Raw genomic sequence first — 26,247 nt, forward strand, 5'->3', positions numbered from 1 at the left:
ATCAGCGATTACCGTATTCATCTTTAAGACAGCATACTTACTTTTAAATAATATTATACTTCTTCAAAAACAGTGCAAGAATCTTACAACAGTATAATTCCAGTTACCCCATCGTTCTTTATGATTTTTTCCATATTTTACTTTTGCATGTATTCCAAACCCCATAATAAAATATTTTATTTTTTTAAAGAGTCAATGGTCTTTTTAAATGTATATATCTATACTAAACAGAGAAAGGTATCTGTATTTACTACTTCCCAGATATTTGCCCTTTCTGGTGTTCTTTCTCACTTCCTGTGGTTCTAGAGTTTTATCTGGTATCTTTGCCCTCAACCTGAATAATATTATTTTCAGCAGTTCTTGTAATATAGGTCTATTGGCAATAAATTATCTCAGCTTTTGTCTGTCTAACAACATCTTCAATTATCCTTCATATTTGAAGACTACTATCTCTAAACATATAATTCTAGATTGACAGATTTTTGTTTGTTTTTCTCCTACTTTAAAGATGTCATTACATTGTCTTATGATAGCCAGTGTTTCTGATGAGAAATCAGCCATAATTCATGTCATTCCCCTGCATAAAATGTGTCTTTTTATCTCTCTCTATTTTTATATTTTCTTCTTTATCTTTGGCTTCCATCAGGTTGAATTTGATATATGTACTTCTTTGTATTTATTCTGTTTGGATTTTTTTTTAGCTTCTTGAATCTGTGGGTTAATGACTTTCATCAGTGTTGGAAAGTTCTCGGCCATTCCCTTTTTTATTATTTCTTCTGTTTTGTTTTCTGTCTTCCCGCCTCCTGGGCTCTAAATACATGTAGTTTTTATTACTTGTTACCATCCGCAGATTGTGAATAGTCTTTTTTATCTTTTATGATTGTTTGAATTTCAATTTGGATATTTTCTATTGATCCCTCTTCAAGTATACTGATACATTCCTGTGTTGAGTTCAGTCTTCTCTTAAGCCCATCTAACAAATTCTTCATTTCTGATATTGTAATTCAAATATGCAGCATTTCCATTTGATTTTTATAGCTTCCTCTTCACTGTTTTTTAATAAACTTTTTATTTTGAAATAAATTTAGATTTATAAGAGTTGCTTCAAAGAAGTACATAGAGTTCTTGTATGCTTATCCAGGTTTCTCTAATTCATTTCGACTAACTGCAACCCATGAGATAAATTTAGCTTACTGACTGCTTCTGTAAATAATGTTTTATTTACACCACCACATTCATTCATTTATTACCTATGGCTGCTTTTGTACTATGATGATGAAGTTGATTAGTCATAACCAAAGCCATATGACCTGTAAAGCCTGCAGTGTTTACCAGCTGCTATAAACTGGATGTTTTGTGGCCCCAAAATGTGTATGTTTAAATCCTAAGTCCCAAGGTTTAGGATTTAAACATTAGGAGATGACATCATTGGTGGGTGACTATTTCATGAGGGCAGAGCCCTCATAAATGGGATTAGTGCTGCTATAAAATAGACTGAGAGAGATCACTCACCCCTTCCACTATGTGAGGACACATGGTGAGAAAATATGAGAAAATGAGAAAATATCCATCCGTGAACCAAAAGTGGGCCCTCACCAGATACCAAATCTGCCAGTATTTTTATCTTGTACTTCCCAGTCTCCAAAAGTGTGAGAAACAAATTAGTGTTGTTTATAAGCCAGCTTGTCTGTGGCGGTTTGTTATAGCAGCCTGAACAGACCAAGACACCATCTCACTTTTTACAGAAAAGGAATTGCCAAGTACTCCTCTAAGGAAGGAGTAGATAAAGGGCTTGCACCTGGGTTGAAATCTTATATAACCATTTGTTTGGTACATTTACAAAAGTAATAAATTAACATTGATACAATACAATTAACTAAACAATAGACTATTGAAACACAGATGTCCTTCGGATTTTACCAGTTTTTCCCCAATTTTTATTTTCTGATCTGGGAACCAATATACCAGAATGCATTGTATCTAAATATATGTATCTTTCACATCCTCTAATCTATGACAGTTTTGTGGTCTTTCCTTCTCTTTCATGACCCTGATACTTCTGAAGCTCATTGGTCAACTACTTTGTAGAATGTCCCTGAATTTGGATTTATTTAACTTTCTTTTTTCCATGGTCAAACCGGGGTTATGGATTTTAGAGAATTATACTACAGGCATGAAGTGCCTTTCTTATTACATCATGTCAGGGGGCATATGTATTAGTCAGTTCTCATGCTGCTAATAAAAACATACCAGAGACCAGGTAATTTATAAAGGAAAGAGGTTTAATGGACTCAGAGTTCCACATGGTTGGGGAGGTCTCACAATCATGGCAGAAGATGAAGGAAGAGCAAAGGCATGTCTTACATGGCAGCAGGCAAGACGTCATGTGCAAGGGAACTCCCTTTTATAAAATCATCAGATCTCATGAGATTTATTCACTATCATGAGAATAGCACAGGAAAAACTTGCCCTCATGATTCTATTATGTCCCACTGACTCCCTCCCATGACACATGGGGATTATAGGAGCTACAATTCAAGGTGAGATTTGAGTGGGGACACAGCCAAACTATATCAGCACATAATAGCAAAATTATTTATTCCTGGTAATGTTAACCTTGATAATTTCACTAAAGAGATGTCTGCCAGTTTCTCTGATGTGCAGCAACTACTTTTTTTCCTTTTTATACTATATTCTTTGGAAGTGAGTCACTAAATCAAGCACATACTCAAGAGGAGTGGAATTAAGCTCCAACTCCTGAAGGGAGAAGTAAAAATAGAATCTCTGAACATATGTAAAACCACCATAGCCATCAACAAACATTTTGGAGAAGGTATTTTGAGGTTATACAAATACTCTGTTTCTCCTTAAAGTTTTACCCATTAATTTTAGCATTTATCAATGGGTCTTGCCAGTGGTAATTATTACTGTGATTTTCTGGTTGTGATTTTCTGTTTCTCTTATTCTACAGTGATTCTTTAGAAATTTCATTATTCATTTTTATTTATTCCATTTGTAGTTCAGTTTTTACCCTGGATCTTTATTATTATTTATTATAATTATTGAAAAGTCCATGTCTGATTATTCCCACATCTGTTGCCTCTATGGGTTTGCTCCTATTGACTGTTCCTTCTCTTTACCAAGGTCACATCTTATTGCTTCTTTGTGTGCCTTGGAATCTTTTATTGTATGTCAAGTGGTCTATATACAACAACATTAGTGACTGAAGTAAACAGTATTTAGGATCAGAAAAGGGTACACCCCTTCTTCTGCCAGCCCACTAGAGAGGTAAAATCTAATCTGTAGTTCAGGTGGGTCTGGGTTTTGCTGTAGCTTTAGTTTGCTTCTGTCACTGCTGAATCAAAATATTTTGAAAGCAGGATCAGGACGTTCTGTTTTGCAGAACTTGGGTTCTGAGCATGGGAAAGATTCCAGGAGTCTCTGTAATTTATAGCTGAGCCACCAGCTTTCCCATCTGTGGAAACTCTTTCTGCTTCCTGCCTGGTGATAGATTTTTGAGTTGTCTTTGTTCTCCAGGCCTGCTGCAGATCTTGAGCACCTGGGAAGGTTACTCTCTTCCTGGAATTCCCCAAAGGAGTTTCTCTCTGCATAATTTCCTATGCTCTATCTCTCAGCAGCTGAAAGTTTTCCAGATGGCTTCGGATAGATTATTCTCAAGTCCTCTGCCTTGCTGCATACCCTCTCCCTGCAACTCTCAGAGGGAAGATTCTTTAACTTAGAGAATGTCCCCTTGTACCTTGGGAGCATATCTCAGTAAAGCACTCTATGAAGACCTGTGTGAAAGAAGGAATGGATTAGTGCAGATTTTTTGGGGACTTTCAAAATTCTAACCTGCCATGCCAAGCCACACATGGCCATTGAAAGTGTGTGCAAGTTTTAGCCAGCTTTAGCTGGGTCCCTCTGGGTCCCTCCAGGTCATAAACCTCCTCCTGTAGCTGCCCTATCAGGGAAGATGGCAGCCACAAGTCTCTTATCTCAAGGGCTCATCACTTTCTGGTGTTATTTTCCCTTATTTTCTTTGCATTCTCAGCTATCTGATGAGTTCAGATAAATTGTGATTTCATCATGTATCCTGCTTGTTTTGGTTGTTGGGATGAAAGCAAAGGTTTCCTGTCACTTTTCATATTCTAGCCAGAAGTGACCTCATGTCTGCATACAACTTAAAGAATGAGCCTAACACCTTTAGAAATGCTTTAAAACTATAGCTTTAGCCCAAATCTCAAGGTTAATAGATGAGGAAAATACAGCACAGCACAAACTGGAACTCAGTCTGGTCTGGAGTGGGGAGTTCATTTTTCTGACAGTGACTCTCTTGCACCTATCCACCAATGCAACCAATACCAACACCACCAACAGAAGAGCTTTTCATTAGGCACAAGCTTTGGGACAGGTGCTAACTACTTATGTACATTGTCTTATTTTCTTTTCACAACAGCTATTTGAAGGGGGTACTATTATAATGCCCATTTTACAGATGAGGAAACCAAGCCCCAGGAAATCTATGTAAACTTCCTGATACGGTTTGCATGTTTGTGCCCTTCAGACCTCATGTTGAAATGTGATTCCCAATACTGGGGGGACCTGGTGGGAGGTGATTGGATCAAGGCAGTGGGGGGACCCTCATGAATGGTTTAACACCACCTCCTTGGTGATGAATAAATTATCACTCAGTTAATTTATGCAAGATTTGGCTGTTTAAAAGTGTGTGGCACCTCCCCCCTCATTCTCTTTTGCTCCCTCTCTCATCACGTGAAGCCCTGGTCCCCCTTTGCCTTCTGCCATGATTGGAAGCTTCCTGAGGTCCATGTGGTGCAGATGCTGGTACCATGCTTCCTGTACAGCAAGCAGAACTGTGAGCCAAAATAAAACTATTTTCTGGCTGGGTGTGGTGGCTCACACCTGTAATCCCAGCACTTTGGGAGGCCAAGGTGGGCAGATCAACGGTTGAGGTCAGGAGTTCGAGACCAGTCTGGCCAACATGGTGAAACCCCATGTCTACTTAACTAAAAATACAAAAAATTAGCCAGGCATGTTGTTGTGCAGCTGTAATCCCAGCTACTCAGGAGGCTGAGGCAGAAGAATTGCTTGAACCCAGGAGGCGGAGGTTGCAGTGGACCAAGATTGTACCACGCCACTCCAGCCTGGGCAACAGAGCAAAACTCTGTGTCAAAAAAAAACCTATTTTCTTTATAAATTACCCAGCAGATATGGTTTGGCTGTGTCCCCACCCAAATCTCATCTTGAATTGTAACTCACACAGTTCCCACGTGTCATGGGAGGGACCCAGTGGGAGGTGATTTTTCTCCCAGTGGGAGGTTCATGAGGGCAGCTTTTTCTCATGCTGCTCTTGCAATGGTGAGTGAGTCTCATGAGATCTGGTGGTTTTAAAAAGAGGAGTTCCCCTGCACAAGCACTCTTCCTCTCTTTGCCTGCTGACATCCACATAAGACGTGACTTGCTCCTCCTTGCCTTCTGCCATGATTGTGAGACTTCACCAGCCACGTGGAACTCTAAGTTCAATTAAAACTTTTTTTTTTTTTGGTAAATTGCCCAGTCTTAGGTATGTCTTTATCAGCAGTGTGAAAATCGAGTAATACATGAGCCTCAGGTATTTCTTTATAACAATGCAAGAATAAGCTATTAGTAAATGGCAGATCCAGGACTTGCACCCAGGTTGAAATGACCCTTGCCTATATGATGTGGCCAAATGTGGTCTCAATTGGTACTTTACTGCTCTCGTGCTTTGCAGGCCTGGGATTTCCCAGCTGAGCCACCTTCTCTCCTGGCTGAGCCTCTTCTCCCTTGCTAAAAGAAAAAAATTATTCACTGATACATGTTAAAGCACAGTAAAGATTTTATTCAGGGCCATTGAAATAAGTGTAGGGACCACTTCAATGAAATTTTGCAGTGCAGAAGACAGATCAGACTCAGCTCCAAATACAGCATAGGCAAGTGGGAATTTACAGCCAGGAGCAGGGTGGGAAGCAGTGGAGGAAAATTACTAAGAGGAAACATCAGGAGTAAGCCTGGGGGAGTTCTGGAGTTTGGGATAAACTGACCTAATAGGATTTTTACTGAAGACAGGCCAAAGTGATCAGACATCACCGAGGGGGTAATGGAGGATAAGGAACCTGATCAGACACTGAAGATGATCAGATATGGAGAATGGCAGATTCTGGCTAAACCAGCTTAGTTGAGTTCTTGCTAAAACTGGATTTCACAAAGAAGTGTGCAGATGAGCCTAGGAGAAGGTTCAGGGGCTTGGCTGGAGTTTGGTCAAGCAGAGAATCTTTTCAGCCCCTTTGGTCTGCTAACCACTCCAGTTCTTCCTTCTTGAAGCAAGAATTTTGAGTTCTGAGAGTTATGGATGGCCCCAAGTTTAAGAAGCTTACCCTCAGGTCTAGCCTTGGCACACAGAGCTGGCAGGAGCCCTTTCCAGAGAGCCACAGGATTATCATGGGGAGGGAGGAACTCGAGCAAGTGTATTGAGATCCATCACTTGAAGAGCCAGATTGTCCACTCATCAGCCTTTTGGACTCTCTGGACATGCAAAGGATGGACAGCAGAGAGAGGAAAGACCCATGCACAACATGACGAGGACCAAGGCCACCTCTGCTCATCTCCTTGTTACCTGCATGAGAGGAAAGAGGAAGAATGGTGCCAAGTTTGCTCAGGAGATTGATTTCAAAGACTTGAATCAAAAGGTGATCAATGATGGTACGAATCAGGTGTTCAAGAAACTGGAAGAACCTTCAGTCAGAGCTCTCTAAGGAGCCCCAACTTTTGTCTGCAGCTACCGGGTTTGGGGGAAGCATCAACCCAGTCAAGAAGACCTGGGTTTGAATCCAGGTTCTGCCACCTACTTGCTGTGTGATATGGTTAAGCTGTGTCCCTACCCAAATCTCATCTTGAATTGTCGTTCCCTTAATCCTCATGTGTCATGGGAGAGACCCAGTGGAAGGTAATTGAATCATAGGGGCAGTTATTCTGTTCTTGTGATAGTAGTGAGTTTTCACAAGATCTGATGGTTTTATAAGGGGCTTTTCCCCCTCTGCTAGGCACTTCTCCTTGCTGCCGCCATGTGAAGAAGGATGTGTTTTCCTCCCCTTCCACCATGATTATAAGTTTCCTGAGGCCACCCCAGCCGTGCTGAACTGTGAGTCAATTAAACCTCTTTCCTTTATAAATTGCCCAGTCTCGGGTATGTCTTCATTAGCAGCATAAGAATGGACTAATACACTGTGTGATCTTGAGTCAGCCCCTTGCCCTCTCTGGACTCCTTTGTCCTAAGGGGTAATATGCCTTCTGCAAAGCACCTATGGGAACTCACCCAGAGAGCACCTGTCAATGGACTCTGCATTGTTAAGCAGCTCAGATTAAGGAAATGTTCTTGCTGACATTAAAAGGGAAGGCTCAGTGGGTTGGATGATGCAAGAATGAGGTCTTCCTCCAGAAGCATGTGCCCTGGATGGGATTCCAAACAAGAGGGGAGGCCTCTTGTAGGGCAGCTGCAATGACTTATTCATCTTTCCCTAGTACAGACAAATTGCTGAGCAAATCTGCACAGAAGGTCACACCAAAACACATGCCTGTATAGGCTGTGCCAGGTAATTAAACCAACATCACTCTCCATTGCTTGAATTCCTCTGCCTCTGATCCAGGAAGTGCGGACCCAGTAGGAAGCTAAGGCAGGCAGCTGTCCTGTCATTTCCATAATCAAATGTTTACGTACCATTTCCTCCTGCCCTTTCTCTTCCCCTTTCCCCTCTTATTTCTATTTGAGCAAAATGTGTTCAAACATCCCCTCTTGCCCTGCTGGGGACAAAAAGTGTCTGTAATGTTGGTGTAACATTTTGGAGAATGAATGCAACATTTGTGTCTATTTGCCGATCAGAATATCGATTTCCTCTTGAAATAAAATGTCACATCCATGAAATTCAAGATGTATTAGAAGAAGAAAGCCAACTTTGACACGTCGTCTTTGGGCAGCTTTGACAGTGCCTTAGCAACCTGCCTTCCTCTGTGTGAGTCCTCCGGTCTAGAATATCAGACGCAGGGGATAACCCATCCCAGATGTTCGCTTCTTGGTCTCTTCTTCCTCCCATGGTTGTCCAGGGCTACTCAGACACTCTAAAAGAACATAAAACAGTAGTACAGTTTGAGAATCCCTTATCCAAAATGTTTGGAACCAGAAGTGTTTCAGATTTCAGATTTTTTCAGATTTTGGAATATTTGCATTACACTTACCAGTTGAGCATCCTTCATCCAAAAATCTGAAATTCATGGTGCTCCAATGAGTATTTCTTTAGCATCATATTGATGCTCAAAATGTTTCAATTTGGGGAGCATTTCATATTTGGGAACATTTCAGATTTTGGATTTTTGGATGAAGAACACTCCACCTGTACTTGTGGCATATCCTGTAGGCTGAGCATCAGGAGCCACTTGCTATTGTGACTGGATAAACAGCACTTGCTATTTTTAAAAGGGCACTGACAGATGAAAGGCAGCAGCTCCATGCCATCCCAGAGATGAAAGCCCTGCTTCCTCCATAGTCAGGAGAATCTACAGGTATAAACTGACAGACATCAGGTGGTCCATATTGAGGTGTAGAAGACTGCTTCCAAAAGAAGTCAAGTATTGGCTGCTAAGCACAGGTGACCACATGGACCAGAAGCAGTGAGAGCAAGCATCTCTCTCCCTGGGCTTCTCTGTAAGTGCTGACAAGGCCATGTGTCCAGGCAAGGAGCATGCACACAGATGTGGCCACATGCTTTGGGTGAGCGTGGCTTACACGTATCTTCAGGAGCCTGTACAGGTGTCTACACAGCAGTGACTTCTAGGAAAAGACCCAAAAGCTACTCTCCTTTGGGGATCCTCATCCAATTTTTCATTCATTCACAGATATTTTTGAGCCACCTACTGTGTGCCAGATGCTAGGCCACACCCAGGTGATGCAATGGTGAGCAGAACTGAATGGTTCCTGCCCTCAGGCAGGTTTCACTTCCATGGGTCTGAGAGAAGACTCCCCAAAGCAAGTGAAAAGGCAAAGGCAATGGCTGCCATCTAGCATACATGCTGTCAAGGACATGAGATGGGAAGCAAGCAGTCATGGAAAACTAGAGTTAACAAAAAATGTATAGGCATAGGCCACGCCCTGGGGGTTTGGGGAAATATGAAAAGATACATGCAGAAGCCAAAAGTGAAGAGCACCCGGCATCTGTTAGGCTCCAGACAAGTCACCGACAGAGGCATCTTACCTCCTCCAGCTCACACTCCTTGGATCAAGTGCATTCCCAAGTAGGGTGTTTGGAAATTCTTCTGTGACACAGTGGGGAATAGGCCGTTGCAAGCTCTTCCTTTTTCTTGTTCTTTTCATTTCCTCTACATCTAAAAAAGCCCGGCAAGCTCTAGCTGCTCCTTGTTCCTGGAGCACATGCACTGCTCACAGCATCAGGTGGTTCTAAAGCCAGAACAGGGGCAGGGACCCTCACGATTCTGAGTCCTCAGCCTCTTTCCACCTGCCCACCCTGGAATTTGCAAAGATTAACTCCTATTAAGCAATTTCTGGTTCTAAAGTTTCCCCTCCTGAGGGCTTATTTAAAACACCAAAGGCAGTGATAACATAATCCCAATAATAACAGTTATTTGTTCTCCAATTATCTATTCTAGAACACTTTTTCCATCTCCATGACAATCTCTTGAAATGCTTTCTACCAATTCCTGCTTATTTGGGGGAAGCTGGTGGGAGAATAAAGCAATCCTGGTGTGAAATACGATTTGTAACCATGTAGAGAGCACTACAGGTCTTTAGAGAATTGGGGAAATAAAGACGCTGACTTCAAATTCAGCCCCCTCCCTCCCTATGCAGTGATTGACACTAGACTTTACTTGCAAAAAAAAAAAATCAGTTGCAAGTTATTAAAACATAATCTGAATAAACTTTAGCACAAAGAAGAGTTCTGCTGCCCCATGGAATCAGAAACTCCAAGGCATGGGGTGACTCCAGCTTCAGCAGCGGATGGACCCAGCTTGGAAATGGTTTCTAGTCTATGTTCCTCTCTGGACCCTGCCTTGCTCCTCCACAAGCTCCCCTCTGCAGGGCTTCCCAAAGGCCACCTGCAGTCCCATACTCACACTTATCCGGTCACACCTCCAACAGTACAAGAGCACCCCTAGGAACGTCCTTGTGGGAACACCTCAAGGAAAGGAAAGAAAAATAAGGGAGGGTGGTCAGCCTGCCTTCACTTTCTGGGGCTGTCTGAGCTGAAATCTCAAGACCAGTTGTGAACTCTGGAGTCAATATCCATGCCCTCAAGTTCACCAATGTCCACACTTTGCCAAATCCAGTGGCGACTGTCAGTCCTCATCTTGACGGCATCTTGGACACAGTGATCACTCCCCCTGCCTGCAAGCACTTCCTTCCCTCGCGGCTTCACTGGGCTGTGGATGCTGCACACTCATATTTCCTCCTGCTGTGCAGTGGTTGCTCCTGGTTCCCTCCTTGGTTGGGTTCTCCCTTTGTTCCCTAAGCTCCTGGCATTGGAGTTGCTCAGCACTGGTGCGGGGGCCTCTTCTGCCCTCACCCCTTGGTGAGTCTGGCCAGGCTCTTGTTTTAAACACCACACACGTGCCAACAACATCAACATTTATGTCTCTGGCACAGACTTGTCTCCTGATGCCCAGACTTGTGCATCCAAACGCTTACTCAGCATCCGCACCTGGATGTGGACCAGGCATCAGCAACTGAGCTAGCACGATGAGGACTTCCCGATGCTCCCACCCAATCCTTCTCTACTCACAGCCTTCTCCCACTTAGCTGATGCCAGCACCATCCTTCTAGTCTCAAAGGCCCAAATCCATGGAGTCATTGCTTTGTATCATCCTCTCATCCAATCTGCAAGAAAACCTGTTGCCTCTACTTTCTAAATGTCCCCAGCATCTGACGATTCCTCCCTATCTCCACCACTTCCAGCTTGATCAGAGCCACCATCATCTGCCTGTCCTGGATTCCTGCAGTGGCCACTGAATTGTTTCTCCTTTTGTTACAGGAAAGGGGTCCAAAAGAGGGTTCTTGGATCTCGCACAAGAAAGAATTCCGGGCAAGTCTGTAAAGTGAAAGCAAGTTGATTAAGAAAGCAGAGAAATAAAAGAATGGTACTCTATAGACAGAGCAGCTCCGAGGGCTTATGGTTGCCCATTTTGATGGTTATCTCTTGATGATATGCTAAACAAGGGGTGGATTATTCATGCATCCCCTTTTTAGACCATAGAGGGTAACTTCCTGATGTTGCATGGCATTTGTAAACTGTCATGGAGCTGGTGGGAGTGTAGCAGTGAAGACGACCAGGGATCACTCTTATCACCGTCTTGGTTGTGGTGGGTTTTAGCCGGCTTCCTTACTGCAACCTGTTTTATCAGCAAGGTCTTTATGATCTGTATCTTGTGCCTATCTTCTATCTCATCCTGTGACTTAGAATGCCTAACCTTCTGGGAATGCAGCCTAGTAGGTCTCAGCCTTATTTCACCCAGCTCCTGTTCCAGATGGAGTCACTCTGGTTCAAAGGCCTCTGACACTTTTGCTCTTGCCCCATAGGGGGTCTCCTCAATGTAGCAGTTAGAGGGGTCATTTTAAATCTGGGTAAGGTCATGTCTCTCCTCTGATCGAAATGCTTCAGTGGTTTTCCATTTCACCCAGAGAGAAAGCCGAAGTCCTTACAGCCTTAGCCCTGCAAAGCCCAGCCCCCTGCCACTCCGGGACTTCTCTCCCAGCCCCACGAGGTCATCTGCTGTGCCCTGCAGGCTCCCCATGGTCTTTGCTGCTCCAGCTGTCCTCCCCGCTGCAGGGAACATTCTTCCATCAGATTCCCCCAGCCCAAATGGCTTTCACCTCCAGCTTAAACCTCTCCTTCTCACTAGGGTCTCTGCTGCCCACTCTGTGGGCACTGCAACCTGCCCCTTCACCCCACTCCAAGCCCTGCATGCATTCTAATATCTTCTATCAGTTACCGACCATGTTTGTCATTTAGTAGTTGTCTTTCTGTGCTGGTGATGGAACATAACTCGTCTCCTCTAGGGCTGGGCTGGGGACTGGGTCTTTTTTACTCAGTGGTATATTCCAGCATCCAAAACACTGCCTGACACACCACAGATGCTCTGTAAATATCCACTGAATAAATGCCAGAGAGCCCAAGACTCACCCAGCCCACCCTCTCACAAGCATGGCAGAAGGCAGGCTCCTGTGGACATGGATGAACAGTAAACCCTTCTGTGTGTGTCAAACCCCATGGGGCACGAAGTTGGACAAGGAAGCTTCTGCTCAAGGCCCTTTGCTGTGACCACAGCAGGTGCCCAGGAGTGAGAAAGAGGAGAGGCTCAACTCTGGTTCTCAATGCCTACGGATCCTGTTTTCTTAACTCTATGTCTTGTCCCATGAAGCCAAAAACAAGACAGGAGCCTTCAGGACAAAGAGGCTGACAAGGGATGGAGCCAACTTAGCTTCATCTCCCAAAAATGTTTCCTGCCTCTTCACCCCCAGCTGCATCTGACTTCATGCCCTAACCCCTGTGCCTTCTAAATAGGAAACCACGAGGGAATGCATCTTCCCAAACCAGGTAGAATGTCTTAAGGTCAACGGTATGATTGGCAATGCAAACTTCTTTTAAGTGGCCTCGCCATCCATTCATAACAGGCAATGCTCACATTTGAGGGTCACTTGTTGGAAGAAGTGATATTCACCTGGTTTTCCATTGAAGGCAGAAAGAGTGAAAGGAGACCACCATGGAGCTTTGATGGATGGCAGAGCCAAGGGCTGAGAAATCCAGGGATGTGGACTAGGTGTCCTGGGACTGAACAGGAGTGCCCTGCAGAAGGAAGGGTGAGGCCCTGCTTGGATTCCACCCCAGGGGCACAGGTGGACGGCTGTACCTGTGGGTGCTTGTATGAGTGTTGGAGACCAGAATACGCTGCTCCCAAATAGGCCTCTTTGGCATTGTGAGCTGATTATTTTGAGGAAGAGCAGACACTGGAGAAGCTCTGGAAACAGTAAAAGGTATCTTGGCCCTGAGGCTAAGCCGCCTCCTTGAGGCAACCATTTCCTTAGGTATCTTTATGTATAGAAACTTCTGTTTGTCTCTCTCTCTCTCTTGATAATTTATCTTTTGTTAAAAGGGTCCCAGCTGAACTCTTGGAAGGGTAAGGGGGAAACTGTTTCTCTTTCCCTACAGCAACATGCCAGCCACACTGGCCTCTCATCCAATAGAGCTGTTTGGCTACAGAAAAGTGAAGCCAGGCCCCGAGCCACCTTCTGTTTCCAACAGCAGCCAAGCTGACCTGCTTGGGCAACAACTCCTGGGCTGGGCTGGACACTACGAGGAGCCCAAGGAGTCCTCTGGGGGAAGCGGCTGGTGCACCATCACTGCGTCTTGCAGCCTGCACAGCCACCACGAATAATGAGATGGACGGGTTTTGTTCTCCAGCCATGGATTGACCCATAGGGAGATCTTCTCTTTCTCATAAAAGAATCAAGAGCTTAAGAGAAAGGAGAACCTGGGAAGGGCTTCCATGTTCCTTTAAAGTTTACAGTTTCTGATATTTGCAAGCACCGAGGTGCCTGAGAAGAGGGGATGAAACAGGAGGTTGTGCTGCTGATCTGAAGCCCACAGTTATCGACCGTGTCCCAGCGGAAGAAGCACAGCTGTGCCTCAAAGGAGGGTTTGTCTCAATCTGCAAGCGCTGATGGAGATCAGGGTTGGGATTTCAAGACGCTAGGGGAGAAATGGAGAATGCCTGTAGTTCCCCTTTTGACATCATAAAAAATATATGTATATATTTAGCAGCTGGTTCCTGGCACAGAACTCCCAAAATCCTTGCAATTTCCTGAGTAGTAGGGGTGCTGGGAGAATCTTTGTTCTAATATTTGATCTTTGACCTGAGTTGCTGACACAGAGTTCCTAAACCCCTTGGAATTTCCTAGGAGACTAGCGCATCTTTTGTTCTAATGAGGCGACTCTTGGAGGCTCCTGGATGGAGACAGAGCCGGGATTAGAAGCCTGGAACTTTCAGCCCCACCCCCATCCTCCAGGAAGGAGAGAGGGGCTAGAAATTGTGTTAATAATTAATTATGCCTGCATGATGAAACCTCCATAAAAACCCCTGAACAACAGGGCTTAGAGACTTCCTGGGTTGATGAACACGTCGGAATGTCTAGAGGGTGGTGTGCCCGGAGAGGGCATCAAAGCTCCACACCCGATTCCCATACCTTGCCCTGTGCACCTCTTGACTGGGCTGTTTATCCATGTCCTTCATCACATTCTCTGTAATAAACCACAGATATAAGTAGAGTGTTTCCCTGAGCTGTCCTAGCAAAGACTCAGACGTGAGCAGGAGGTTGCATCACTCCAATTTATAGCTGGTCCATCAGAAATACAGGAGGTATGGACTTGGGCTTGGCATCTACAGTGAGGGCAGTCTTGTGGGGCTGAGCCATTCATCTGTGGGGTCAGGTAGTTCGGGTCATAATTGAAATTAATGTATCCAATGCCCAGTTTGTGTCTGGAGAGTTGGGGAATTAGTTGGTGTGAAAAACCTCCCACACCACATGTGGTATCAGATATGAATATTATTTCAGTACAGAGAAGAAAACAGTGTGTTTTCCTATCATCCCCCAAACCCTGCCACTGACTTGGAGCTCCTTGGCCTGGGAGCAGCTATGGTTACAGGGAAAAAATCAAATGCATGAGACACCTAGAGCTAATTCCCAAACTGAGGAGTTTGGGGTATAAACCAGGGGCTGCTCTTGGTCCCCCTGAGTGTGTCCTGGCCTGACCAAAGGGCACTAAGGGCTGTCCCTTCATGTTATCAGTCAATTCTTGTATTGCTAGGAAGGAATACCTGAGACTGGGTAAAAATTTATAAAGAAAAGAGGTTTAATTTGTGCACAGTTCTGCAGGCTGTTCTCATGGGAGCTGGGCACCAGCTTTGTCATACCTGAAGAGCCCCTTCAGCCCCTTCTCTGCACAGGGCCCCAAATGCCAACGTGAAGTGCCCTTGGAATTTTCTAACATAGCACAACTTCTTAGGGGTGAATTTTACATCAGCACCCATAAATAGCACCATCATGTCTACAGAAGGCTGGTCTCTGAACAAGGAGACCATGGTATAAAAGCACTGAATTCCATATCCTGTTAGACCACAGATATTTTCCCCTCCCAGTGGGGCAATACTTTTATAGTGCTGGCTGGGGAAGCCCAATTAGGTGTTTGAACTAATGCTTGGGCCAAAACTTGATTTGTCAGCAGTGCGTGTCTAGGCAGGTTTTTATGCCATATCCACTGCTCATGAGATCCATTAAAATCTGAGTCTAACCAGGTGCAGAGGCTCTCACCTGTAATCCCAGCACTTTGGGAAGGCAAGGCAGGCAGATCTCTTCAGCCCAGGAGTTTGAGACTAGCCTGTGCAACATGGTGAAACCCCATCTCTACAAAAATTACAAAAAAAAAAAAAAATTAGCCAGGATGGTGGTTCATGCCTGTAGTCCCAGCTGCTTGGAAGGCTGAGGTGGGAGGATTGTTTGAGCCTGGGAGGGCGAGGCTGCAGTGAGCCAAGATTGCACCACTAAACTCCAGCCTGGATGACAGAGCAAGACCCTGTCTCAAAGAAAAAAAAAAAATCTGAGTCCAACACCACAATGAAAAGGTGAAATGGTCATATATGAATTTAATTTAAATATTTTTATTTCGTTAGAACAGAACAGAACAAAGCTATTCTCAAGGCTGGTCTTGGCTTTGGTTCAGATCAGAAAGTCTGAGCACACTGCTCTGTGCTACTTTCTTAATGTGCTTTTCCTGACCAATCTGGGGCCTCAATCTTCCTTGGAGCCTAGAGAAGGATGGAGCAGGCGATACGAATGATTACCAGAAGGGCTCTGACACCCCTGCTGACAGGCTTTCCAGCAGTGCCTTAAAGCTGTCATTTATCTTACTGGACCCTCTAGGGCTGGTGAGGCTCTTCCCCTCCAGGGGCCTTGGCCATGCTGGGGAGATTGTGCTCAGCCTTCATTTCTCTCCAGCCACAGCCAGGGTTTCAATCTCTGGCTTTGACAGCGCCCCATGGACCAGCCAGTCAATTTCCTTGACTGAGTTTCAGGTGCTGGTGTTTTATGCTATACTCTGAGGTTGCATTCCCAAAAGTTGGTTTGATTATTTTTTGAGACTGAATATGCAAACAAACAATGGGAAGACCATACATAAAAAAAGAGCTCTGACCCGCAATTGCAGCAGCCAGCCCAGGAAACCACGCCCTACCTATACACCCAGCCCAGGAAGCCATGTTGTCATGAGTCAGATTTGAAGAAGTCAGATCACCATCCCTAGAACAGCTCAGAAAGCCAAACAATAACCCCTGCCACAGCCAACCCCAAGTGGCCAGGACTTGATTAGCAGCTGACAGCTTCTCTAATGTTTGTCCCCACTTCCAACTCATAATCCAACTCCAAATAGGCCCCTGTGATGGTTAATATCAGGTGTCAACTTGATCGGATTGAAGGATGCCTAAATAGGTGGTAAAGTATTGTTTCTGGGTTTGTCTATGAGGGTGTTGCCAGAGGAGATTGACATCTGAGTCAGTGGACTGGGAGAGGAAGACCCACCCTCAATGTGTGTGAGCACCATGCAATTGGCTGCCAGCGCAGCTAGGACGAAGCAGGTGGAAGAAGGTGGGAGAAGCTGGCTTGCCGAGTCTTCTGGTTGTCATCTTTCTCCCATGCTGGATGCTTCCCTCCACTCCTTCTTCCCTTGCACATCAGACTCCTGTTTCTTCGGCCTTTGGACTCTTGGACTTACACCAGTGGGTTTGCCAGGGGCTCTAGGGCTTTTGGCCACAGACTGAAGCCTGCACTGTCAGATTCCCTACTTTTGAGGCTTGTGGACTTAAACTGAGCCACTACTGCCTTCTTTCTTCCCTAGCTTGCAGATGGCCTATGGTGGGACTTTGCCTTGTGATTGTGTGAGCCAATTCTCCCTAATAAACTCCCTTTCATATATACGTAGATCCTATTAGTTCTGTCCCTCTGGCGAACCCTGACTAATACAGCTCCCCCTCCAATCCTTCAATACACTTGCTTCTGGTCAGCCACCTCCAGCACACCAAGCCAACAGCCGAGCCTCCCTTCTCCACTCTGAAGTTTCCTACTCCTCTGCCTGCCTTTGAGTCTCTGCCAACGCAAGCAATGGTGGCCGTCTCCCTTGCTACAGCAAGTTCCGAATAATCAGCTTCTGCTTTTCTCATTTGGCTGACCTTCATTTATTTCCACATCTTTCAACTGGGCTTCACCATCCGCCAGACAGAGGGCAAAATGCAAACAGAAGCAACTGTGAGCAGAAATGAATCCAGAGTTCCCTGGCCATTCCTGACTCTCATGCTTATTCGCAACACCTTACTAAGCTTCACCGAGAGATCAGCTCCAGAGATCACCAACCATGGACTTTTTCAAAGCCAGTGATTGTCCTTTCTGCCTCTAAAGGGCACAGCACAAAAACCAGGCATGAAATTAGTAAACCTCACAGCAGCACTGAGGAAGGCAGCCCACGGGGCTCCTGGATTGGCCTCTTCCAAAGGAAGCTATGGTCATTATCCCATTTTGAAAATTACCCTTGAGCCTTTTATCCTGTCTTTCTAAGTAAAAGTCCTTGATCCCAGTCTACCTCAAGAGCCCAAGTTCTGGGAAAAAACATCAGAAGTGTTGCACAGGAATGCAAAAGGGAAGAATGAGGTAATACCCAGCTTTGGCATTCAAAATAGAATTGGGTGGCAAGACAAAAGCAGCTATTTTTTAAGAAAAGTGTACACATTTCTTTATTTTCCATATTTAGCCTATCGGTGGCTGAGCCTGGAGGTCCCAACTTAGAGGTGTTCCTGTTGTGGAAGAAGGAACTCTGTAATTATCCCTCTGTGAAGCAACAGAGCCTTGTGGTAGGAGGAAGTCATGTTGGTAACTGACGTAAGCAAAGGGCAAGGACAGTCAGCAGTTATCCCAAGGGCAAGGGAAAGGCAAGGAGAGGTGGATTTGATCAGAGCTGGTAGAAGTGGTGCCTCATGCTTCTCCTGTCTAGCTCAGAGAGAAGGTCAAGGGAATTGTAGAAGTAAGACTAACACCAAGGCAGCAGGGGTTCTGGTCTCTGTTCCCCACTGAAGACCCTGGAAAGAGACTAAATCTCAGGCCTCCCTACCTGTACCACTGAGGATGACCCCATCCACTAGTTGGTCTTATTCTCAGGTGGAGGGGATGTGATATGGTTTGGCTGTGTCCTCACCCAATTCTCATCTTGAGTTTTAGCTCCCACAGTTCCCACCTGTCATGGACGGGACCTGGTGGGAGGTAGTTAAATAATGGGGGCGGGTCTTTCCCTTGCTGTTCTTGTGATAGTGAATAAGTTTCACGAGATCTAGTTTTTTTCACCAGAGACAGAGTCTTGCTCTGTCGCCCAGGCTGGAGTGCAGCAGTGTGATCTCAGCTCACTGCAACCTTTGCCTCCCGGGTTCAAGCGATTCTCCTGCCTCAGCCTTCCGAGTAGCTGGGATTACAGGCATATACCACCACACCCAGCTAATTTTTGTATTTTTAGTAGAGATGGGGTTTCATCATGTTGGCCAGGCTGGTCTTGAACTCCTGATGACAACTGATCCACCCGCTTCGGCCTCCCAAAGTGCTGGGATTACAGGTGTGAGCCACCGTGCCTGGCCTGACTGATGATTTTATAAAGAGGAGTTCCCCTGCATAAGCTCTCTCTTGCCTGCCACCATGTAAGATGTCTAATGCTCTTCTGCCATGATTGTAATGCCTCCCCAGACATGCTGAACTGTGAGTCCATTAAGCCTCTTTCCTTTATAAATTACCCAGTCTCAGGTATGTCTTTATTAGCAGTGTGAGAACAGACTAATACAGCATGGAACCCAGAAGTGTCTGGGAGTCTGTTCAAATCCAATGTGAGTTAGAGGGACCTGGCACAGGAGGCAAGATGCAAGGAGGACTGCCCAGTCAGCAGAGGACCAGACCAGATGCCAGGGACCACAGCCTGCCCTCAAACGGGTCTGCAGTGGCACCCACAGCCCATCAGAGGCTGAGAAGCCAGAAGGGGCCAGCAGAGAGAGCCCTGAGTCCTCCAAACAGACTGGAGCCCCAGGGACCAGCTGGGTACACATTAGCCAGGCAGACACCGGCAGAGACAGAGGACCCTGTCCCTATAGACCTCTCTCTGCCAGTCATCAGGGAGAGCAGCAAGATGGCAGGGTGACCATCACCTGGCAAATCTGTAATTGCCTGACAGGTTCTTCCGGCCCTGCTGCACAAACAAAACCAGTTTGCTGAGACTGTGGTGTCGCAGTAAAGACAGCGTTTAATGAATGCTAGGCTAGCCAGACAGAAGACAGAGTTGTTACTCAAATCAGCCTCCCTGCAGGCTTGGAGGTTACAGTTTTTCAAGGTGGGCAGGGGACTAGGGAATGGGTGCTATTGATTGGCTGGGAATGCTGTGGACCATGGAAAATGGTCTTCCTGTGCTGAGTGGGGCCACAGCACTGGTTGAATTATGAGCCATTAATCTGTGGTCAGTAGGTCATCAGAATGCAAAAGTATGGAAAACTTCTCAAAAGACCAATCAGGTTGGTATTTTCTATCGAGGAAGTCACAAATAGGAGCAATTGGGGAAGTCACAAATCTTGTGGCCTCTGGCCACATGACTCCTGAGTAGTAAGGGAATATAGAAACTATGCCTACACATTAGGAGACCTCAGGCCCCTCCCATAATCCAAATCTTGTGGCCTTTCATTAATCTCACAAAGGCAGTTTCAACCCCCAAACAAGGAGGGGATCCATTTTAGAGAGGAACTACTATCATCCTTGCTTCAAAGTTAAACTATAAACTAAATTCTTCCCATGGTTAGTGTGGCCTATGCCCAGGACTGAGTGAGGACAGCCAGCCTGGTAGGCTCGAAGCAAGATGGAGTCAGTCGTGCCAGATTTCTCTCACTGTCATAATCTTGACAAAGGCAGTTTCCAATCTAAGAGCATGTGTGTTCCTCTTATCAGATTACCCTGGGCTTTAAGCTCAGCTGGAAAATCCCCACCATTCTCACCCAAGTAACAGGTGCATGGGAGCCTGGGAGGAAACCCAGCTGGCTCCATAAAGAGATCACCTTGTCTCTACACATCTCCACTTGCTGGGAGTTACGTTTGTGAGCTCATTACATCACCATTATGATCCTCAGGACCATCTGCCCGATGCAGCGGCTGCAAGTCAGGAGAGGCTGTGTCAAGGAGATTCATGCGGTGACCTTCATTGAGAGCCTGCCCATGACAGGCACTGGGAACATGGCAATGAGCACAGCATCCCTCATCCTGCTTGCATGGATGCTCCATGCTAATGGAGGGAGGCAGATGATGGCACGTTAACAACCACATAAATATTATTTCCTGTAGTAGGGTAAGGGACTTCAAAACTGCATTTAAAAATGTAGACTAGCAATCATTGAAACAGGATTTATGAGGACATGATCAGAAGTGCCATGGGAATGCAGCATTCAGAGATGCTCGATATGCAAGCATCTTCTCTTAAAGACCTGGTGGTCTAACTGGTGAGCAAGTAGAATGTGTGCATGCACACACACACACAAAACCATGTGTGAACATATGCATATACTTTTACATGCACACACCCCAACATACACACATACACACATGTACATAAACGTGTATGTTTATAAAGTGAACTTGGAATCAGAGCCTGGGCCAGTCTGTCCCAAGCAGCAGATCTGTCTCTCCACACTGACAAATTCTGATCGGTGATTGACACTTACATACACACACAAACACTGAATACACAAGGCACATGCACACACGTATACACATACACACATGCAAGTACATATATACACATGCATGCAGATACTATACATGCAACTATGCATGCATACACATATACTTATGCACACATACAAATACACATGAATATATGCAGACATGTTCATGATCCACATGCATGTGCACAAATATACACACACACATAAGCTCTCACACAGTGCATATGAACATACACATGTGCCTATACCCCACACATGAGTACAGATGCATACAAATACATGAAAATATACATGTACATGGTACACATACACATACACAAATATCTACAAATTCACATGTACACACTTGCACACACAGACATATTTTCATTGCAAATAAAGGGGGATCTATATTTAGCTCCTGGATCATGAATGCATGCTCCAGGGTCCTCTCTTTCACTGTCATTCCACCATCTACCACCAGCGAGCCCCCATCTGGATAAATGTCCTCTGGCCTCTCCCTGGCCTGTCTGCTGACATCTGAGCATCCACACTAAGGTGACTCTAGCTGACAGACAGCCGCCGCTGACAGGAGCTGAGCAGCCCAGGCATCATGTTGGGCTCCGAGTCAACCACCGGTCAGAATTTGTCAACGCTGAGAGACAGATCTGCTGCTTGGGACAGACTGGCCCAGGCTCTGGTTCCAAGTTCACTTTATAAATCCCTGCTTCATAAACTGACCTTTGACTGACAGTGTTATACTGAGTAACTGTGTGGAGATAACCTGCCAAAATATTATCCTTGGCACTGTCCCCCAGAGAGATGAATGTGCCATTTGCTGAACCCTGACTGCTGAGGCAGCATTTGCTCTGGAGGGAAAGTCGCTTTTTATTTATTAGCCTAAAAAAATTATATGCCTGCATTAAGAGGACTCCAAGCAAGCCTGGCAGATTAGAAATGCACGTTCATTCATTTGTCCATCCATCCACCCCTTAATTTATACACTGTTAGTGGTGAGATCATAAATAGACTTAAACACACTTAGATAAGCACAGCCCAAAAAGAAAGAGGTATGTACGTGAAATGTGCGTGTTCCATAGGCTCATTTGATTATGACCAAGCTAACCTATATAACTGTGTGATGTCTGTGATATTGAAAAACAGGACATGAACATTGAAGACCAAATGGCTTGGGAGGCAGGTTAGTGGCAGCTTATGAATCTCCATAGGATTGTAGTTTGTCTCTCTCGAATAATCATCCAATTGGAACTTCACAGCAGCTTTGTCAAAACTGCAGAGACATGGGGGGGTCAGGCCCAAACACAGCACCTGGTATACTGAAGGTGCTTCATAAGTACTCGTTGGATAAATGAAGGGGAATGAAAGAGAAACACCCAAGCTAGGGTGAATTAGGAGAACGCTAAATACTTTATCCCGGATTTCATCTTCAGGGGCTTACAGACTGTATCAGTTTTCCGTCTCTGTAAAACCAATTACCATGCATTTGGAGGCTTAAAACAACACACATTTATTTTCTCACAGCTTCTGTGGATCAGAAAAGCAGAGATGGCTTAGCTGAGCCCTGTGCTGTGGGACTCAGAGGCTGCAAACAAGGTGTCAGATGGGCTTTTTCATATGAAGGACTGACTGGGAATAAACCTGCATCCAAGCTTATTCCAGCTGTGTGTGGAATTTGCCTCCCTGTGGCTGTAGGACTGAGGCCCCAGCTTCTTGTTGGCTGTCGGCTGAGGCCCCGCACTGGTCCCAGAGGCTGCCCACAGTGCACTGCCATGTGGCCCCTTCACAGACTCTCAACACAGCAGACAGTTGGGTTTACCTCTAGACCAATTGTGCAGAAAAGATGACAATCCCAGAACCTGGAGCTCAGGGCCCCACCATGAGGCCCCTAGGCAGGCTAAGAGACTAGGCTTGACATAACCAGGCTCCAGGGAGGCCCCAGACTCATACCTGAGCCTCACACCTATTCCTGCCCTCTAGCCACAGGGAGCTGGGAGCCTCACCTGCAGGGAGGGAGGAGTGATGACAGACAACCTGCGACTGGCCAGCTGCCCTCGGGTCTCACTGTCCTTCCGAGTCCATGTCTGCACCCTGCACCCTTATGAAGCCTCTTATGAAAACAAGGCAGGACAGAGAGTTTTTCAGTTTGGGCGATGGCAATGGCTTCCCCCAGACCTGCTGTGCTGGGCCCTGCCTTTTCTAAGGGTCTTCTCAGACCCCAGCTGCCCACCACCCTGCTACACTGGGTCCTTGGTTCCTGGGAGTACTAAGACAGGTTGGAACTGTCAAAGGGAGCTTTTCTCAAAGGAAAGCCAAACTAACCACAACTATGTTCGCATCTCGTATTGATGGAGCCAGGTGCCATTCCAGGCGCCGAGCACTTCGCTTCTCTCTTCAAACCCATGGTGTTGTTTAATTCACACAACAACCTTGGGATGAAATTTCTGTCCATTTCCACATTGCTCTGGTAAGAAAGCTGAGGCTCAGAGAGGTCTGTGCCACCCACAGCGGGTCACTGTCAGCGCCGTCTCGAGACCACTTGGGGTCTAGAGCCCATGCATGATCCTCATTGCTACTTTGTAAGCTAGAGAAATGCATGTGGATCTTCCAAGGCAGTGGTCTGCCAGGCCCCCTACCTGCCCTACTACCCACCCGTGCCCTCTTCTCTTACCCTCACCCCAAGGGATGCCACCTCCTGTGAGTGCTGGCTGGCCTTGGCACCCCTGACACACTCATCCTCCACAACCCTCACTGAGCACCTCTGAGAGCTGAGCACTCGCAGGGGCGGAGGCTGCTGCTGTCAACACAACGCACAGAGGCTGGACCTCCTGAAGGCTCTCTCGTGAGTCCTTTGTCCCTTCCTTCCTTCCTTCAATGTTTCTTGAGCATCCGTTAGATCCTAGAGTGGAGGGGCCAGTGGCCGTCCTGGGAACTGGGAAAGCAAATGGACAGTGTGAGTCCTGCTCTCAGGGGGCTCTGGCTGGTGGGGAGACAGATGCCAGAAAGGACTCACCCAGGCAGTGTGGAGTGGGGACGTATGAACGGAGCAGGGAGGGGTCTCAGGGCTGGGAGCTCTTGACAGCCACAACCCTGAGCCCTTCCTGAGCTCCTGCTTCCCATTGGAAGGAAAGGAATGATCCAGATGGCATCATGGACACTATCCCTCCAACGGGCACATGGCTCCTCAAAACATGGCCTTATCCCCCCCAACCCCCACCCCCCATCGCCTCGACTTCCCACTGAAGTACTTGCCTACACACCATCCGAGGAGTCCCTGTATCCCCTGCAGACTCCCCACACACTCACTGCTTATACCCACTGCCACTTCCTTTCCTCTCTAGGGACCCCCTTGCTTCCTGGATGGCAGGTATCCAAGAGAGCCCTAGGATCAAAGCCCCACAGCCTTACCGTCCTATCCTTATCCTGGGCAATGGCGGTGGGGATGGCAAAATCCACCTGCTTTCTTGGCCTCCCAGGGAATGCTGCTTGGATCCGAATTCAGGGACAGTCTGGAGTAATTTGAACCCAAATGGAAGAAGGGCAGTCTTGATCTATTATTTTTGCACTCACACTGTATTGCTCGGCTTCCATACTCATTTTACTCACCAGCCTAAGCTCCCAAGACTGTAACTTTTGGAAAGAGCAAAGGACAAAGGTCACCACCTTTAAATTATTCAAAAATCTTCATTTGATCAATATCCATTCACTCCACAAATATTTATTGAGCAAATTATAGCAGCTTCTATGGGCTCTTCCCTAAGAGCAGTTACAAAGTGACTTAAAGCAATGGCAAGGCTTCTAATCACAAATATTCCATCAATAGGTCAAATCGTTCAAAAAACCATCTGTTCACTTTCATAGCTACTGAAAATGCTCATTAAAATCCAACATTCATTTTTGATAAAACTCAGTAAGCTAAAAATGGAAGGATATTTCTGCCTCATGATAACAAATAGATATCTTAAGCCAGTGAGTGTTATATTTAATGCCCAGGGTTTTTTTTTAAAAAAAAAAAGTTAAATATTTAACTAAATATACAGAATTCTCCAAATTTTAACAAATGGATTTTACAAATAAAATCCTATTAAAAGTCAATGGAGAAAACAGCATTCAATTTTTCATTTCTGTGTTTGGGGGTGATAGGTGATTTCTGTACGTTTTCTAAATTATCTTCAGTTGTTTTAAAATCAGCTCTAGATTACTAGCATGTAAGAGACCCTTTAGAGATGGGGCAGTCCAGTCTCTTCACTGCATGGGTGTGAGGGAAGAGGGTGACTGGCTGCAGCAAGGACAGGCCTGGCCAATCGGGAGGGGCAGAGAGGACACACATGTTGGCTGAAGGTTTGGGTCCATTTGGACTCCTAAGTGGCCGTGAGATGGCACCATTCCCTGGCCTGGTCCTCTGTACAAGAGCCCTTCTGAAGGCCAGATCAAGAGTCAATGACCTAAGTGGGCCTTTCCTGTGGAGCAAATATTTCACTCCCTCTTGCCGTGTCCCAGTGACATGCAGAGGCTTTGCGTGTGCAGGGAGTGAGCACACGTCAGCCCCGGAGGCAATTTAGTTAATGTCATTGGATTGCTGTCTCTACGGGATTAATTCCAGGCCTTCTGACAGATGCTCACTCAGACTGTTTCTCACCAGAGTCCTCAGTCACACATCTTGTTATAATCGTGTCATCTGGGTGACACCGTGGTAACCCTGCACTGCGACGATGCAGTTTCCTAGGTCATCGTATTACACATCAGGTCAAATCAGCCAAGCACTGCCCGTGTGTGGTCCATACCTGTGTCCAAACTTAAGGTCCCCAGACTAAAACCTCCATCCCACTCCTGTCCACAACTATGCCATTGAGGGAGCCAGCAGGGAATAAAAGTCCAGAGATGGGCAATGAGGAAGCACCTGGGAATCTGGGAGCTGGGCAGCAGCTCCTCTGAGCACGTGGAGTATCTGAGCTGTGGTCACCATTGGGACCATGATGCCACTGGCTGATTCATCAAAATGACCGGTTCATGGTCAGCCCCTCCCCTGCCTTCCCATGAAGGCTAAATGGAAAAACGAGAGTTAAACAAATGCTGATTCTCCTACCACCCCTCGCCTAGACCCCCGTGCAGCCAGCCAGGGATGCCACAGAGCCAGGTCATTGTTGCTGACGAACATGTGAGCTCTAGACGAGGCAGGGTCTGACCACAGAAACAAAACACATGCCAGGTCTTTGGATTGAGAAAGCTGATTATGGGAGATGGCTGGAATGTTGTGAGCAGAGCTGAATGCACAACTAGAGAAAGAAGCTTGCCCCGAGACTGGCCGCTGTAGGAAGCTGCTGCTACCCCCAGGACTGGATGGACAAAGGCCAGGGGTATTCTTACTGGAGT

The sequence above is a fragment of the Homo sapiens genome, chromosome 1, assembly GCF_000001405.40.
Source record: "Homo sapiens chromosome 1, GRCh38.p14 Primary Assembly".
NCBI classification, from domain to species: Eukaryota; Metazoa; Chordata; class Mammalia; order Primates; family Hominidae; genus Homo; species Homo sapiens.